Source organism: Homo sapiens, chromosome 17 (assembly GCF_000001405.40).
Source record: "Homo sapiens chromosome 17, GRCh38.p14 Primary Assembly".
Classification (NCBI taxonomy): domain Eukaryota; kingdom Metazoa; phylum Chordata; class Mammalia; order Primates; family Hominidae; genus Homo; species Homo sapiens.
In genome coordinates, this window is record NC_000017.11 from 1,113,247 (window position 1) to 1,128,295 (window position 15,049).

A 15,049-nucleotide genomic window follows, 5' to 3' on the forward strand; every position below is an offset into this window, starting at 1 on the left:
TGGAAGGGATAACATGGAAACACCTATTGCGATTTTTTTTTTTTTTTTTTTTTTTTTTGAGACGGAGTCTCGCTCTGTCACCCAGGCTGGAGTGCAGTGGCATGATCTCAGCTCACTGCAACCTCCGCCTCCTCGGTTCAACCCATTCTTTCGCCTCAGCCTCCCAAGTAGCTGGGATTACAGGAACCCGCCACCAGGCCCGGCTAATTTTTGTATTTTTAGTAGAGATGGGGTTTCATCATGTTGGCCAGGCTGGTCTCGAACCCCTGACCTCAGGTGATCCACCCGCCTCGGCCTCCCAAAGGGCTGGGATTACAGGTGTGAGACACGGCACCTGGCCCACTGCTTATTTTTAGATTCGACTTTAAACGTCACCTCCTCCAGGGAGCCTCCCGTGACTCCCCGTTGGCTGCGTCAGATGTGCCCGCTGGTGCCCTCAGAGCCCACTCTACGTTCCCAATCGTGGCACTTCTATTTTAACTTCTTTATTTTCCTGTTACATCACTAACAATTCTAACTCTGTAGACACACATAATAAAGAAAGAGAAAGTCTCCTCTGGTTCCCTCTGACAGAGGGAGCCTCTAAGAGTTAGTTATACATTTTTCCTTATTTGTGTCCACGAATAAACTATACATATAGGCCGGGTGCAGTGGCTTACGCCTGAAATCCCAACAGTTCGGGAGGCCGAGGCAGGAGGATCACTCAAGCCCAGGAGTTTGAGACCAGCTGGGCAACATGGCAAGACCTCATCTCTATAAAAATTTTAAAAAATAATTAGCTGAGTGTGGTGGCATGCTCTTGTGGTCCCGGCTTCTTGGGAGGCTGAGGCAGGAGGATTGCTTGGGTCAGGATATTGAGGCTGCAATGAACTGTGTTTGTGCTACTGTGTTCCAGACTGGGCCACAGAGAAAGACCCTGTCTCAAAAAAAAAAAAAAAATTAGGCTGGGCGCAGTGGCTCACGCCTTTAATCCCGCACTTTGGGAGGCCGAGGCAGGTAGATCACTTGAGTTCAGGAGTTCGTGACCAGCCTGGTCTACGTGGTAAAACCCTGTCTCTACTAAAAATACAAAAATTAACCAGGAGGGGTGGCACAGGCCTGTAATCCCAGCTACTCTGGAGGATGAGGCACAAGAATTCCTTGAATCCGGGAGGCAGTGGTTGCAGTGAGCTGAGATCACACCACTGCACTCTAGTCTGGGCGACAGAGCAAGACTCTGTCTCAAAAAAAAAAAAAAAAATTATGGCCGGGCGCAGTGGCTCACACCTGTAATCCCAGCACTTTGGGAGGCTGAGGCAGGCAGATCACCTGAGGTCAGGAGTTTGAGACCATCCTGGCTAACACGGTGAAACCCCGTCTCTACTAAAAATACAAAAATTAGCTAGGCGTGGTGGTGGACGCCTGTAGTCCCAGCTACTCAGGAGGCTGAGGCAGGAGAATCGCTTGAACCCAGGAGGCGGAGGTTGCAGTGAGCCGAGATCGCGCCACTGCACTCCAGCCTGGGTGACAGAGAGAGACTCCGTCTCAAAAAAAAAAAGCAGTGGTTAGAGATGCTGGTGGGGCTGGGGAACAGACAGGAGAGAGACTATGTGAGGCACAATGACATGAGTTTAGTCTGGCTGGTTCATGCATTCATTCAGCTAATATTTACTGAGCACCTACTGTGTGCCAGGCACAGTTCTCGGCACCAGAGACTGCAATGAGCAAGTTTTGTTACAAAACCGACAAAATCTCTCTCTCGTGAGAGTTCACAATTCTAGCACGGAGTTGGTCCTGAGGCCACAGAGGTAGGCAGGGGGTCCAGGGGTCAGGTCACACAAGGCCTTGACAGCTGTGCAAAGGGAAGGGGGGCCCCATAGGCGAAGGGAAGGTGCTGGAGGATTTCAGGACAGGTGTGACAGGACATTCATCCTGCATCCCTCCTGCTGACATCAGATGACTCTTTCTAAAACACTGCTCACTCTATGCCCAGCAGGAAGCCACCAAGCCAGCCCAAACAAGAGCCGTGGGGCCCCAGCTGATGACTCACCCATCTCACTGTTGACAGTAACCTCTCAAAGGGCCTGGCACGTTCTCACTTCCAGGCCTTTAACAACGGCAGGTCCTCGGCTTGAAGCACTTTCTCCCGCCTCTTGGCTTCTCCCTGGCTCTCCCAGCTTTCCTGGCAGAAACTCAAGCCCCACCTCCAGACTGTATGAAGCTCAGTAGCTCTTCAGCCAATGGGAACTGACACCAAAGGGCAAGTGCCAGGGCAGTTGCAGCCACTAACTGCAGCCACAGATGGGACTGGATTCGTCACCTTCCAGATCACCTTGCTCCTCCCTCTGCCTCCTCTCTGTTCTAGTACAGGTCACTCCAAAATCATATACATAGTTCAACTACATAAAGCTAATGTTGGCCAGATGCAGTGGCTCACGCCTGTAATCCCAGCACTTTGGGAGGCCGAGGCGGGCAGATCACCTGAGGTCAGGAGATCAAGACCAGCCTGGCCAACGTGGTGAAACCCCGTCTCTACTAAAAATACAAAAAATTAGCCAGGCGTACTGGCGGGTGCCTGTAATCCCCGCTACTAGGGAGGCTGAGGCAGAAGAATCACTTGAACCCCGGGAGGCGGAAGCTGCAGTGAGCCGAGATCACACCACTGCACTCCAGCCTGGGTGACAGAAGGAGACTCTGTCTCAAAAAAATAAAATACATAGGCTGGGCGAGGTGGCTCACGCCTGTAATCCCAGCACTTTGGGAGGCCGAGGCGGGCGGATCACCTGAGGTTGGGAGTTCAAGACCAGCCTGGCCAACATGATGAAACCCCATCTCTACTAAAAATACAAAATTAGCCGGATGTGGTGGCCTGTAATCCCAGCTACTTGGGAGGCTGAGGCAGGAGAATCACTTGAACCCAGGAGGCGGAGGCTGCAATGAGCCGAGATTGCGCCACTGGACTCCAGCCTGGGTGACAGAGGGAGACGCCATCTCAAATAAATAAATTACATAAAATAAAATAAAGCTAATGTTGAGGAGAAGCCGGTACACAACACTGTTTATACAGTGAAACAAATAAACTAAAACAGAAAGAAAACTCCCCTGCACTCTGGATGTGAGCCCCAGCTCTGCCTCTTGCCAACTGTGTGACCTGGGCATGTCATCTAGTCTCCCTGTGCCTCCGTTTCCTCATCTATAGAATGGGGGTAATTACGGCATCAACTCTAGGGCTGCTAGCTAGCCAGAAGACGGAGATCCCAGACAGGGCGTGAGAGCTGTGGGATGAGCCAGGCCAGCCAGGTGTGGTTCATCAGGGAAGATTAACAGTATGCAGAGGTGAGCAAGATCCCAGCCAGGTGTGAATGTAGGAGGGCCAGAGAGGACGGGAGCCAGCGATGACGGGACCCAGGGTCACAACCAAGGCACTAGTCTACCTACTTCCGACTTACCTCCTTCCCAACTGGGACAAGCCCAGGAGCCACCCTGAGCCTCAGTGTCTTCATCTACTAAACGGGGGCAGCCCCATGGCTGGAGGACTTGGGTGGCAGGGCAGCCCCTGGGCTCCTAGCACAGCACCTGGCACACGGGAGGGTCCAGCTCGTGTCCTTCTCTTTGCAGCAGGGACCCAAGATCCAGGAAGGGGAGAAATGCAGGGGCCGGCTGCTGGGGGGCGGAGGCTGAAACTCGAGGAGTCCCTGAACCACACAACCCAGGTCCGGAGCAGTCAGGAGGGAGTGGAGCAGGCACCATCTCAGGAGTTCCTGGCTGCCATGCCGCCTCTTCACGCACCTACCAGCAACCTCGAATCCCAAGCCCTAAGCCTTCTGAAGAGACCAAGAAAGGGAAGAAGAGGCTGCAGTTCCTCCCAGCGTTATCCCTGAGCCTGAGTTCCTCCCAGCGTTATCCCTGAGCCTGAGTTCCTCCCAGCGTTATCCCTGAGCCTGAGTTCCTCCCAGCGTTATCCCTGAGCCTGAGTTCCTCCCAGCGTTATCCCTGAGCCTGAGTTCCTCCCAGCGTTATCCCTGAGCCTGAGTTCCTCCCCAGCGTTATCCCTGAGCCTGAGTTCCTCCCAGCGTTATCCCTGAGCCTGAGTCCTCCCCAGCGTTATCCCTGAGCCTGAGTTCCTCCCAGCGTTATCCCTGAGCCTGAGTTCCTCCCAGCGTTATCCCTGAGCCTGAGTTCCTCCCAGCGTTATCCCTGAGCCTGAGTTCCTCCCAGCGTTATCCCTGAGCCTGAGTTCCTCCCAGCGTTATCCCTGAGCCTGAGTCCTCCCCAGCGTTATCCCTGAGCCGGAGTTCCTCCCAGCATTATCCCTGAACCCGAGTTCCTCCCAGCGTTATCCCTGAGCCCGAGTTCCTCCCAGCATTATCCCTGAGCCCGAGTTCCTCCCAGCGTTATCCCTGAGCCCGAGTTCCTCCCAGCGTTATCCCTGAGCCCGAGTTCCTCCCAGCGTTATCCCTGAGCCCGAGTTCCTCCCCAGCGTTATCCCTGAGCCTGAGTTCTCCCCAGCGTTAACCCTGAGCCTGAGTTCCTCCCAGCGTTATCCCTGAGCCTGAGTTCTCCCCAGCGTTATCCCTGAGCCTGAGTCCTCCCAGCGTTATCCCTGAGCCTGAGTCCCTCCCAGCGTTATTGCCTGAGCCTGAGTCCCTCCCAGCGTTAACCCTGAGCCTGAGTTCCTCCCAGCGTTATCCCTGAGCCTGAGTTCCTCCCAGCGTTATCCCTGAGCCTGAGTTCTCCCCAGCGTTATCCCTGAGCCTGAGTTCCTCCCAGCGTTATCCCTGAGCCTGAGTTCTCCCCAGCGTTATCGCTGAGCCTGAGTTCCTCCCAGCGTTATCCCTGAGCCTGAGTCCTTCCCAGCGTTATCCCTGAGCCTGAGTCCTCCCCAGCGTTATCCCTGAGCCTGAGTTCCCCCCAGCGTTATCCCTGAGCCTGAGTTCCTCCCAGCGTTATCCCTGAGCCTGAGTTCCTCCCCAGCGTTATCCCTGAGCCTGAGTTCTCCCCAGCGTTAACCCTGAGCCTGAGTTCCTCCCAGCGTTATCCCTGAGCCTGAGTCCTCCCCAGCGTTATCCCTGAGCCTGAGTTCTCCCCAGCGTTATCCCTGAGCCTGAGTCCTCCCAGCATTATCCCTGAGCCTGAGTTCCTCCCAGCGTTATCCCTGAGCCTGAGTTCCTCCCAGCGTTATCCCTGAGCCTGAGTCCTCCCAGCGTTAACCCTGAGCCTGAGTTCCTCCCAGCGTTATCCCTGAGCCTGAGTTCCTCCCAGCGTTATCCCTGAGCCTGAGTTCCTCCCAGCGTTATCCCTGAGCCTGAGTTCTCCCCAGCGTTATCGCTGAGCCTGAGTTCCTCCCAGCGTTATCCCTGAGCCTGAGTTCTTCCCAGCGTTATCCCTGAGCCTGAGTCCTCCCCAGCGTTATCCCTGAGCCTGAGTCCTCCCCAGCGTTATCCCTGAGCCTGAGTTCCCCCCAGCGTTATCCCTGAGCCTGAGTTCCTCCCAGCGTTATCCCTGAGCCTGAGTTCCTCCCAGCGTTATCCCTGAGCCTGAGTCCTCCCAGCGTTATCCCTGAGCCTGAGTTCCTCCCAGCGTTATCCCTGAGCCTGAGTTCTCCCAGCGTTATCCCTGAGCCTGAGTTCTCCCAGCGTTATCCCTGAGCCTGAGTTCCTCCCAGCGTTATCCCTGAGCCTGAGTTCTTCCCAGCGTTATCCCTGAGCCTGAGTCCTCCCCAGCGTTATCCCTGAGCCTGAGTCCTCCCCAGCGTTATCCCTGAGCCTGAGTTCCCCCCAGCGTTATCCCTGAGCCTGAGTTCCTCCCAGCGTTATCCCTGAGCCTGAGTTCCTCCCAGCGTTATCCCTGAGCCTGAGTCCTCCCAGCGTTATCCCTGAGCCTGAGTTCCTCCCAGCGTTATCCCTGAGCCTGAGTTCTCCCAGCGTTATCCCTGAGCCTGAGTTCTCCCAGCGTTATCCCTGAGCCTGAGTTCCTCCCAGCGTTATCCCTGAGCCTGAGTTCCTCCCAGCGTTATCCCTGAGCCTGAGTTCCTCCCAGCGTTATCCCTGAGCCTGAGTTCCTCCCCAGCTTTATCCCTGAGCCTGAGTTCCTCCCCAGCGTTATCCCTGAGCCTGAGTTCCTCCCAGCGTTATCCCTGAGCCTGAGTTCCTCCCAGCGTTATCCCTGAGCCTGAGTTCCTCCCAGCGTTATCCCTGAGCCTGAGTTCCTCCCAGCGTTATCCCTGAGCCTGAGTTCTTCCCAGCGTTATCCCTGAGCCTGAGTTCCTCCCAGCGTTATCCCTGAGCCTGAGTTCTTCCCAGCGTTATTGCCTGAGCCTTCCTTGCTCCTCCCTTCCTCCTGACTGAACATCCCAGAACTACTTGGTTCCATTCCACAAATACCAGTTGAGAACCCCTAGGTGCCAAGAAGCTTCCACTGGGGTCCACAGAGATGATCAGGGATTAAGGTCCTGATCTCACAGGGCGGATGCACCCCACAAGTGACCGTGCACACCTCCCAAACTGCAGTAGGATCAGCGGCGGGGTGGGTGTGAAAGCTTCACAAGGGAGGGCGTGTGAGCGGGACCTGACAGCGCTGTGCAGGCTCTGGCATCATAGAAACCCAAGTTTCAATAACACGCTGCCCCACTGGCTGCATGGTCTTGGACAAACAATAATATTAATAGCTATTATTAAGAGATGGAGTCTTGCTCTGTCACCCAGGCGGGGTACAATGCCTATTCGCAGGCGTGATCCTAGCACCTCTCAGCCTCCAACTCCTGGGCTCAAGCGATCCTCCTGCCTCAGTTCCCCTTGTAGATGGGATTATGGGAGTGAACTACCATGCCCAGCTAATCTTAGGCAAATTACGTCACCTCTCCGAGCCCCAGTTTTCGCACCTGTAATGTGGAGATGGTTATAGCACCTACCTCATAGAGTTGTTGGGGCTCTTAAATGAAACCAACACGTGAAAGGTTCAGCACAAGCCTCTCTAAGCAGCTGTGATGAGGGGGAGGAGGAGGAAGAGGATGATAGGGACAATGATGATGATTTTTTTTTTCCTTTTTTTCTTTTTCTTTTGAGATGGCATCTCACTCTGTCCCCCTGGCTGCTGGAGTGCAATGGCGTGATCTCAGCTCACTGCAACCTCTGCCCCCACTGGGTTCTAGCAATTCTCCTGCCTCAGTCTCCCAAGTAGCTGGGATTATAGGCACCTGCCACCACACCCAGCTAATTTTTTGTGTATGTTTTTAGTAGAGACGGGGTTTCACCATGCTGGCCAGGATGGTCTTGAACTACTGATCTCAGGTGATCCACCCACCTCGGCCTCCCAAAGTGCTGGGATGACAGGCGTGAGCCACCGCACCCGGCCAATGGTGAGGATTTCAATTCGCCTCCACCCTTATCTTTGGGTTCTCCTGCAGGCTGGAGTCTAATCCCCTGTTTCGATTTTACATTGACAAAGCATTCTGCCAAACACCATCTCACAGAAACCTCACAACAGCTGTGAGGTTTGAGCCCTGTGAGGTCAGGAGGGAGGAAATTCTCAGTGTCTTCACACTACAGATGAGCAAACTGCAGCTCTGGTGGGGAGTCATGAGTGACACCCCTCAGGCCACACAGTGAGACAGTGGTAGAGTGGGGACAAAACCCAGTTCTTCTCTCTGCCTTGTAGCCCCTTTTTACTAAGCTTCCCAAGAGGCAAGCAGACAGAGGAGTCTGTGGCCTGTGGGGAGGCGGGTTTTCTGTAAGACCATGGTCCTGCCTTAGGAACCTACACCCCCACTTGTCAGCTGAGATGAGTCCTGGCCCTTTCTTCTCAGAGTGAAACTGGGCAGTCTCCGCTGAATGGAGCCACCCGTGGTCTGTGGGCCTGGCCCTGCCGTGCTGCCCTGCTCAGCCTGGACTTGGGCAGGGTTTATGGGGCAGGGCTTCAGGTTTCACCCTAATACCTCTGTGGGATCCATGTCTTGGGGACACAAAAGAAGACAAAGGCAGAGTGCAAGGCTGTGGAAGGGCGTGCTGGGGAGAGAGGAGCATGTCCTGCCAACACCGCAGAGACCCGGCTTCACCCGGGGCCACCCCATGTGGCAGAAAGGAGGTTGATTGCAAAAGCAGGTTCGGTCATGGTGCAGCAGATATTGATCAGACTTGGTCTTTGCAGTGGTAATGCTGTTGGCTCCCCAGCCCTCTAAACCTGGCGAGAAAAGTCTTGTGGGCCCTGGTGGCCAAGGGCTGTGCACTTTGGTGAGCCAGGCCTAATGCTGCAGGCCTCCCCTCATGCTGAAATTCCGCAGCATCTTCCTGCAGCTGCTCACAGTGGGATGGGAGCTGAGTCCCCCCAGGCAGGGCTCTGAGCCCTGCTGTGGTCTGAGAGCTGCTCACAGTGGGATGGGAGCTGAGTCCCCAAGGCAGGGCTCTGAGCCCTGCTGTGGTCTGAGAGCTGCTCACAGTGGGATGGGAGCTGAGTCCCCCAGGCAGGGCTCTGAGCCTTGCTGTGGTCTGAGAGCTGCTCACAGTGGGATGGGAGCTGAGTCCCCAAGGCAGGGCTCTGAGCCCTGCTGTGGTCTGAGAGCTGCTCACAGTGGGGCCTCCTCCCCACTACCTTTCAGGGGAGTTAGAGCTATCTAGAGACAAGGAGACTGAGGCTCAGCGGTATGAGGACACTTGCCCAATGTCTCACAGCTAAAGAGTAGATTTTCTTTTATTTTCTTGAGATGGAGTCTCGCTTTGTCACCCAGGCTGGAGCGCAGTGGCAAGATCTCGGCTCGCTGCAACTTCCACCTCCCAGGTTCAAGTGATTCTCCCGCCTCAGCCTCCTGAGTAGCTGGGATTACAGGCATGTGCCACCACGCCCGGCTAATTTTTGTATTTTTAGTAGAGACAGGGTTTCACCATGTTGGCCAGGCTAGTCTCAAACTCCTGACCTCAGGTAATCTGGCTGCCTCAGTCTCCCAGAGTGCTGGGATTCCAGGCGTGAGCCACCGCGCCCAGCCTGAGAGTAATAGATTTTCATCTGCGCAAAGCTTATCTGCTTTCCATCCTGGGTGGCTGAAGGAATAATAGTATGACACTTCATTTTCTAGGCCAACCTGACTAGGCCACAAGGTGTCCAGATACTTGTCCAAACATTAATCCGGACATATTTGTGAGGCATTTGGGATGAGGTTGATATGTGTATTGGTGGACTGAGTAAAAAGACTCCTCCCCAGTGTAGGTGGGCCTCATCCAATCCACTGAACACCTGAATTAACAAAAAGGCAGAATAAGAGGAAGCTCCTCTCGCCTGACTACCTGAGCGTGAGCTGGGATGTTGGCCTCCTCCAGCCTCCAGACTCGGACTGAAACACTGGCTCTTCCTGAGCCTCGAGTCCACTGGCTTATGAGCTGGAATTTACATCCCTGGCTCTCCTAGCTCTCAGGCCTTTGGACTTGGACTGGAACCAATATTGGCTGTCCTGGGTCTCCAGCTATTGACTGCAGAGATTAGGACCTCTAAGCCTCCATAATCACCTGAATCAATTCCTTCTAATACTTTTCTTCGTATGTAGATATAGATACAGATAACGCACACACCCTGTTGGTTTTGTTTCTCTAGAGAACACTGACTAACACAAAGACTCAACCTTGGGCTTCCCGTTGGCTGCATATTTGGGCGTGGAAGGCCCAGCGATAAGGCGGTGCCAGAAGCCAGATATCTGAATATCTACAACAATTGTCTGATTTGGTCCAGAAGTCCCCCCTGTTCCCAAGGCCCCAGCAGGAAGCCTGGTAGGGGAGGGGACCTGTTTGGCCAAATAAGCACAGCCAAGCCGCAGAAACCTCGGTCTTTTATTAATAGTGTTTTTAACCAAAACATCCCCAAGTACTCAGGAAGAGGCGTCAGCTCCCTCCAGGCACCCCGTGTAAACAGCAATCCCTGCAGAGTCCACTAGGTGGGGCCGGTGACCCAGCAGAAAGGGCAGAAACGCTCCCTGAGGAGGGAAGGCAGGTGCCGCGGATGGGACCTTTGCCCGGACGATCCCCAGGCTGGACAAGTGCTCCCTACTCCTGCCTTGCGTGGCTTCTAGTCGATGGTGTAAACATCAACCCTGGGGGCCACAAGCACTTTAGGGGGCAGTCACTCTAGCATCTCTGGATTTCAAGGTCCTCAAGCCAAGTGAGTCCCTCGTGAGCCACCAAGCAAGACGCACAGCCACCAAGTCAAGTTCTGCCCCGAAGCCCCGGAGCGCCAGGCGGGGGCATCTGTGCGTGACGCCCGTGATCTGTCTCCCGAGAGAAGGCACCTGCCAGCACCAAAGGAATCGGAAAATCGACGGACACGGAAACCAGTCATGGTGGTCACGCGACAAGGACAGGGCACAGGGACAGGGAGCAAAGAGGGAGGTGGCGCGGGGACAGGCAGCGGCAAAGACCCTGGCCCCACACCGGGATTCCGCAGCATCTTCCTGCAGCTGCTCACAGTGGGGTGAGAGCTGAGTCCCCCCGGGCGGGGCTCTGAGCCCTGCTGTGGTTTGAGAGCTGAAGGCAGAGATGGGAGCGAGAGTCTTCTCCTCCTTGCTCTCCCCTGGTTGGCCCCCGTTCAGGTCCCTGAACACCTGCTCTGCCTCCTTGGGTTACTATTTGTACCCTGAGCCCAATGCCTCCAGGAGAACCAGGGCAAAAACCCTGCCCCCGCAGGTCCGAGACGCTTGTCTCTAACCCGCCTCCCGTCTTAGGGCAGGTCAACAACACACTGACCAACCCCCTCGCCGGCCCCCTTGCCTCCCACCTGCCCCCCGCCAGCCCTTCCCACAGGTGCACGCCTGGACTGCCGCTAAACTCGGCCTCGGCCTCTGTTGCCATGGCAGCAATGTGGCTTCCCCCAAGTGGGAAGCCCGTTGCCAAGGCCCTTGTTGCCAAAGGCTATAACAGCCACCCCGGTGTGTGAAGAGGGGTGAGAGCTCTGTGGGGGGTGGAGGGTGGCCGGGGGGGCTGGAAGGAGCAGGGGGTTCTCAAGAATGGGAGGGTTCAGGCGGCCTCAGCTGGGGTGGGGGGGCACTAGCCCCTGGAGGAAGAAGAGGCAGCCCGTGGCATCTCAGCGACTGCTCCTCTGGGGACGTCAGAAGGCAGGACGGAGACCCCCTACAAAACACACCCGGACGAGCAGGACCAAGCAAGGATGGGGCACTCCCACCGCCTCCTGCAACACACACCCCCCACAGAGGACCGGCTTGGATTCTTCTCCCCCACCAGCTCCAGGCAAACAACCCCCAGAACCTCTGTTTTGCTCGTTCATGTGTCTCCGACAGGCACACACGAGCTGCGCTCAGACAGCGTCAGTCCCTGTCGCCAGGAACACGTTAATGACAAGGACCGCAAACCCTCCACAGTTTCTATCCCTGGCCTGTCTCAGAGCACATACTTAATATTCCTTCTACAATGCTTCTCTCTGGAGCAGAACTCTTGTCTCTGTCAACAAGGAGAGGTGGATGCCATCAGAGTTTGTTCCCTTCCAGAGTGAACAGAGGAGGGCTGGAGCGGGCAGCTCATTGCACCCACAGGGAGCACCAGGCCCAGGCTGGCTTTGCGGGAGCAGCATCTGAACACCTGGAGCCCACGGGCCACGCATGCAGCCACTGCCTGGCCTGGGTGCAGAGGGGAGGAGAGCCTGGTCCTCTCCTGGGTCCTCTGGAGGAGACAGGCTAACAGGGGAAAGCTGAAAGAGGCACGGAGGGGTCTGGGAGGCCTGGGGAGCAGACGGCTAGTAGACGGGGAGAGACAGGGGCGGCAGCGTTGGCAAAGCAGGTGGGGAGGGAAGCCCGAGCCTGAGAGGGGTCCAGGGCCAGGACGAGATGACGAGGCACCAAGAACGGCCAGGTCCAAACGTCTCCAGTCCCAATCTCTCGAGACCAACCCAAGCAGGGCCTGGCCCACGATGCCCAGGCCTTCCCGTCACCCCTCCCCAAACCCAGAAAGAAAAGCCGGTGTACCTACCCCAGGAGCCAGTCCCTCAGGTGGAGTCGGGGAGACGCCATCCCCCCCGCCCTGGCTGCGGGCGCTGAGCTGCGGGGACATGGTGGGCGACTCATCGATGTACGGCATGGTCTCTGAGCCCTCCGGGGGCCCCTTCTGCTCCTCATTCCCCTCTCCGTCGTACTCGTCCGTCCCGTAGCTGAAGTCTGAGACAAGGAACAAGAAAGGCCACTGAGAATCCTCCACCAGAGCTGCCAGGGACTGGTAGCGTAGTGGGCGCCGGCGGCGGCCCCCGGCAGCCATGGCCCCGGCCGCACCATCCACGCCTGGCCCGGGCGGGGGCTGTGCGGGGGCCTGGGCCTGGTGAGGGGCGGGGGAGAGCCAGCAGGCACCGGGCCCTGCCCGCTCCGGGGCTGCTGGGAGGCGGGGAGGAGCGGCTCTGCTGTTGCTACCCGATGAAGAGCATGTCAGCCGCGTATTTCAAGCTGCTGTTTTCTTTGCCTTCTGCCTAATTCCAAGTGTAAAAATTAACAGTGGGAGCAAGAGGCAGGACGCTTCCAACTCTCCTCTCTGAGTCACCATTTTGCTTTTTATAGGGAATAAGGAGGTGGGGGGGGCCGGTCGATGTCACTTCCTGTGGCCCTCCTCCTTGGGTACCATTTGTACTGAGCCCACTCCCTCCAGGGGTCCAGGGCAGGTTCTGGAGTGTGGGAGGGGAGCCCTCAGCCCTCAGAACAAGGCCCCGCACGGAGGACGGAGCCCAAGGCAGCAGGGCGTGGGCGAGGAGGCTGTGCCCAGGCCTGGCAGGGACAGGGGCTCACAGCAGACTCCTCGGAGCCGGTGCTTATTTCTATCACCCCAGTGTGGGCTTCCTTCAAAGGAGGAGGGAAGGAAAGGCGACCGGGAAGTTGAGCCGCATTAACCCCCCAGGGCTGCCAGCACCACTTGGGCTCCAGAGCCCAGGCACGGAGCCCACCCACCTTGGGAGGGGAGGCTGAGCCAGTGCAGCGAGCGGGGTGTGCAGGTCAGCAGCTCAGGGCTTCACATTTTCCAAAAGGGTTACGAGGGCGGCCTCGGAAAGGCCCCTGCGTCCAGCCCCACCAGCATGGCTATAGGAGGGACCCTCCCACAAACCGGCCCCTGCCCCTTGGCCTGTTTGCTCCCCAGCTCTGACCCACCACGACTGGCAACGGAGAACGTGGCAGTGTTGCTCCCGAGGGCTGTGGTGGACCTCCTTGGGCTGGGGCCGCCAGCGGGGGGTGGACACCCCTCTCACACTCATCGCAGAGCAGGGGTAAGCTTCAGCACTCGTGCGGGCCAGCGGGAGCTGGCACCGCAGGGCGTCCTGGAGACACGAAGATCACCGTGCCGGCAGCCTTGGGGCCAGCAGGAGCCTCCTACGCACTGGACTGCCCAGTGGCGGCGTCCGCTTGTTAAACCTCCCCGGGTATCTTCCGGGCGGGACTCCCTGGCCAGGCATCTTCGGATCTCGCACAGTGTGATGGGGGAGGCTGGCTGAGCCTGCCCTGCCATCTGCCCAGACATCCTTTCCTCCAGGTCACCCTCCCCATGGCACCTGGCCCCCTGGCACCTTAGTGAATCCTGCCCCTTTGTCCTTGAGCCCCTGGGGCAGGAGGTGAGCATCTGAGTCATCACTGTACGCCAGCACCCACAACCCCACCTGTGGCAGGCTCTCGGGGAAAGTGCGTGGAGCGAATGAATGAGCAGAGGATCGCACCGTCTGTCTCAGGTCTGAGGCTTCAGCCAAGTCCCAGCCAGCCAAGTTCTCCACGGGGGCCCCAGCTCTTCCCTCCTCTGTCACAACACACCAGCCCACAGGCAACCAGCAGCTGGAGAATGGTGTCAACAGGTCACCGGGACGCCTGGCCGTGGCCACACTCTGCCCAATCTGGCCTTTTGGCAGCCGAGCGCTTCCCCTAGGCTCGCTGCACCTGCTTCTGTCGGCTGCCTCTCCTCGTCCCTGAGCCAATGCCCCATTCAGCTGCCAGGGGACATGGACTAGTTTTTTCCCTAGACAGGGTTGTGTATGAAGAACCACAGGACCCAGGGATGCCCCATCACTGAGATGAGTGTACACCACACACCCGGGCAGGACCCAGGGATGCCCCATCACTGAGACGCGTGTACGCCACGTACCTGGGCAGGACCCAGGATGCCCTCCCACTGAGATGTGTGTAGGCCACGCACCTAGGACATAAGGCCCAGTGCCCTGGAGACCATGACACTTGTGTCTGTGGCTGAAGGGATGTGAAATGACTCTGGTCCTTCCAGGGGGAGGAGGAAGAGGCACAGCGGCACCCAGCTGGCCTGAGTCTGGGTCCGTGAAGGGCCTGGCCGTTTGGTGACACCCCCTCACTCTGGAGAAGCACAGGAGGGGATGGAAGGCAGCCTCCCGCCGGCCCCTCCCTCCTCCCTCCTCCTCTCCAGGAGGCTCCAGGCTGCCCTGTTGGTGCCTGGAGTCCAGGGAAAATAAGCAATAGTGGACCGCGGCTTTGCCCACAGTTTAGATTCCAGCCGGCCAAGCAGACTCTCCTGTACACTGACCAATTCCCAGGGGTCGCAGGAATGGACCCCACACACTTGGGAGATCGTCCAAGATCAACGGGGGGGAAGGGACGGTAGGGAAGGTCTCTGCCAGTCTCCCCACATGCACAGTTCATCCTGATCAGAGCAGAGGACCACGGGCCCTGCCATCCCCTGCTCCTTCCAGCCTGGATGTTCCGCGGGGAGGCAGTTCTTATTTTTCCCAATTTACATACAATTGCCGAAGATCACAGGATCAGAACCCAGGTCTCAAATGCCCTCCCTTTCCCTCTGAATCTCACTCCAAAGAAGTCCCCTTCCATATCCCTCCTGGTTAAGGGGGGCTGACCATGGAGCTGAACGCAGGGGGCCTGAGGACAGGGTGCTGGTGGGCGGAGGCCCAGGGGCGGCGAAAGGGCTCGGCCTGCGAACATTTCCAGGGCCTTCCCCTTTCATTTCTGCCCCCACAAAACCATGAGAGCCCAGGAGACTCCAACCAGGAAAAGGGGTACAGAAAAGATGGGGAAACCAATCCTCGGAGAAGGCAGGAACCCTGGGGGAGGAAGATGGGGACCTACTGAGCACAGGCT

The 15,049-nt window shown here is 57.3% G+C and overlaps 1 protein-coding gene across 4 annotated transcripts in view, besides 3 other annotated features; it reads right to left on the bottom strand.

Moving 5' to 3' along the window:
* The window catches only part of ABR (ABR activator of RhoGEF and GTPase), a 226,204-nt gene that overhangs the window by 109,728 nt on the left and 101,427 nt on the right, over positions 1–15,049 (bottom strand). For 3 of the 4 annotated variants that reach the window (NM_001322841.2, NM_001159746.3, NM_021962.5), the window contains exon 2: positions 11,937–12,121. In NM_001322841.2, the coding sequence (NP_001309770.1) occupies positions 11,937–12,121 (185 nt within the window). Of the gene's footprint in view, positions 1–11,936; positions 12,122–13,093; positions 13,327–15,049 lie in introns of those variants that run through there. The other variant, NM_001322840.2, reaches the window with a different exon arrangement.
* Positions 1,483–2,126: an enhancer, noted in NCBI's record as "NANOG-H3K4me1 hESC enhancer chr17:1017969-1018612 (GRCh37/hg19 assembly coordinates)". NCBI's record gives its function as "activates a minimal SCP1, AML or CMV promoter by ChIP-STARR-seq in naive H9 embryonic stem cells {active_cell/tissue: H9 hESC(naive)}" and the evidence as "EXISTENCE:reporter gene assay evidence [ECO:0000049][PMID:30033119]".
* Positions 9,711–10,253: an enhancer, noted in NCBI's record as "H3K4me1 hESC enhancer chr17:1026293-1026834 (GRCh37/hg19 assembly coordinates)". NCBI's record gives its function as "activates a minimal SCP1, AML or CMV promoter by ChIP-STARR-seq in primed H9 embryonic stem cells {active_cell/tissue: H9 hESC(primed)}" and the evidence as "EXISTENCE:reporter gene assay evidence [ECO:0000049][PMID:30033119]".
* Positions 10,254–10,795: an enhancer, noted in NCBI's record as "H3K4me1 hESC enhancer chr17:1026835-1027376 (GRCh37/hg19 assembly coordinates)". NCBI's record gives its function as "activates a minimal SCP1, AML or CMV promoter by ChIP-STARR-seq in primed H9 embryonic stem cells {active_cell/tissue: H9 hESC(primed)}" and the evidence as "EXISTENCE:reporter gene assay evidence [ECO:0000049][PMID:30033119]".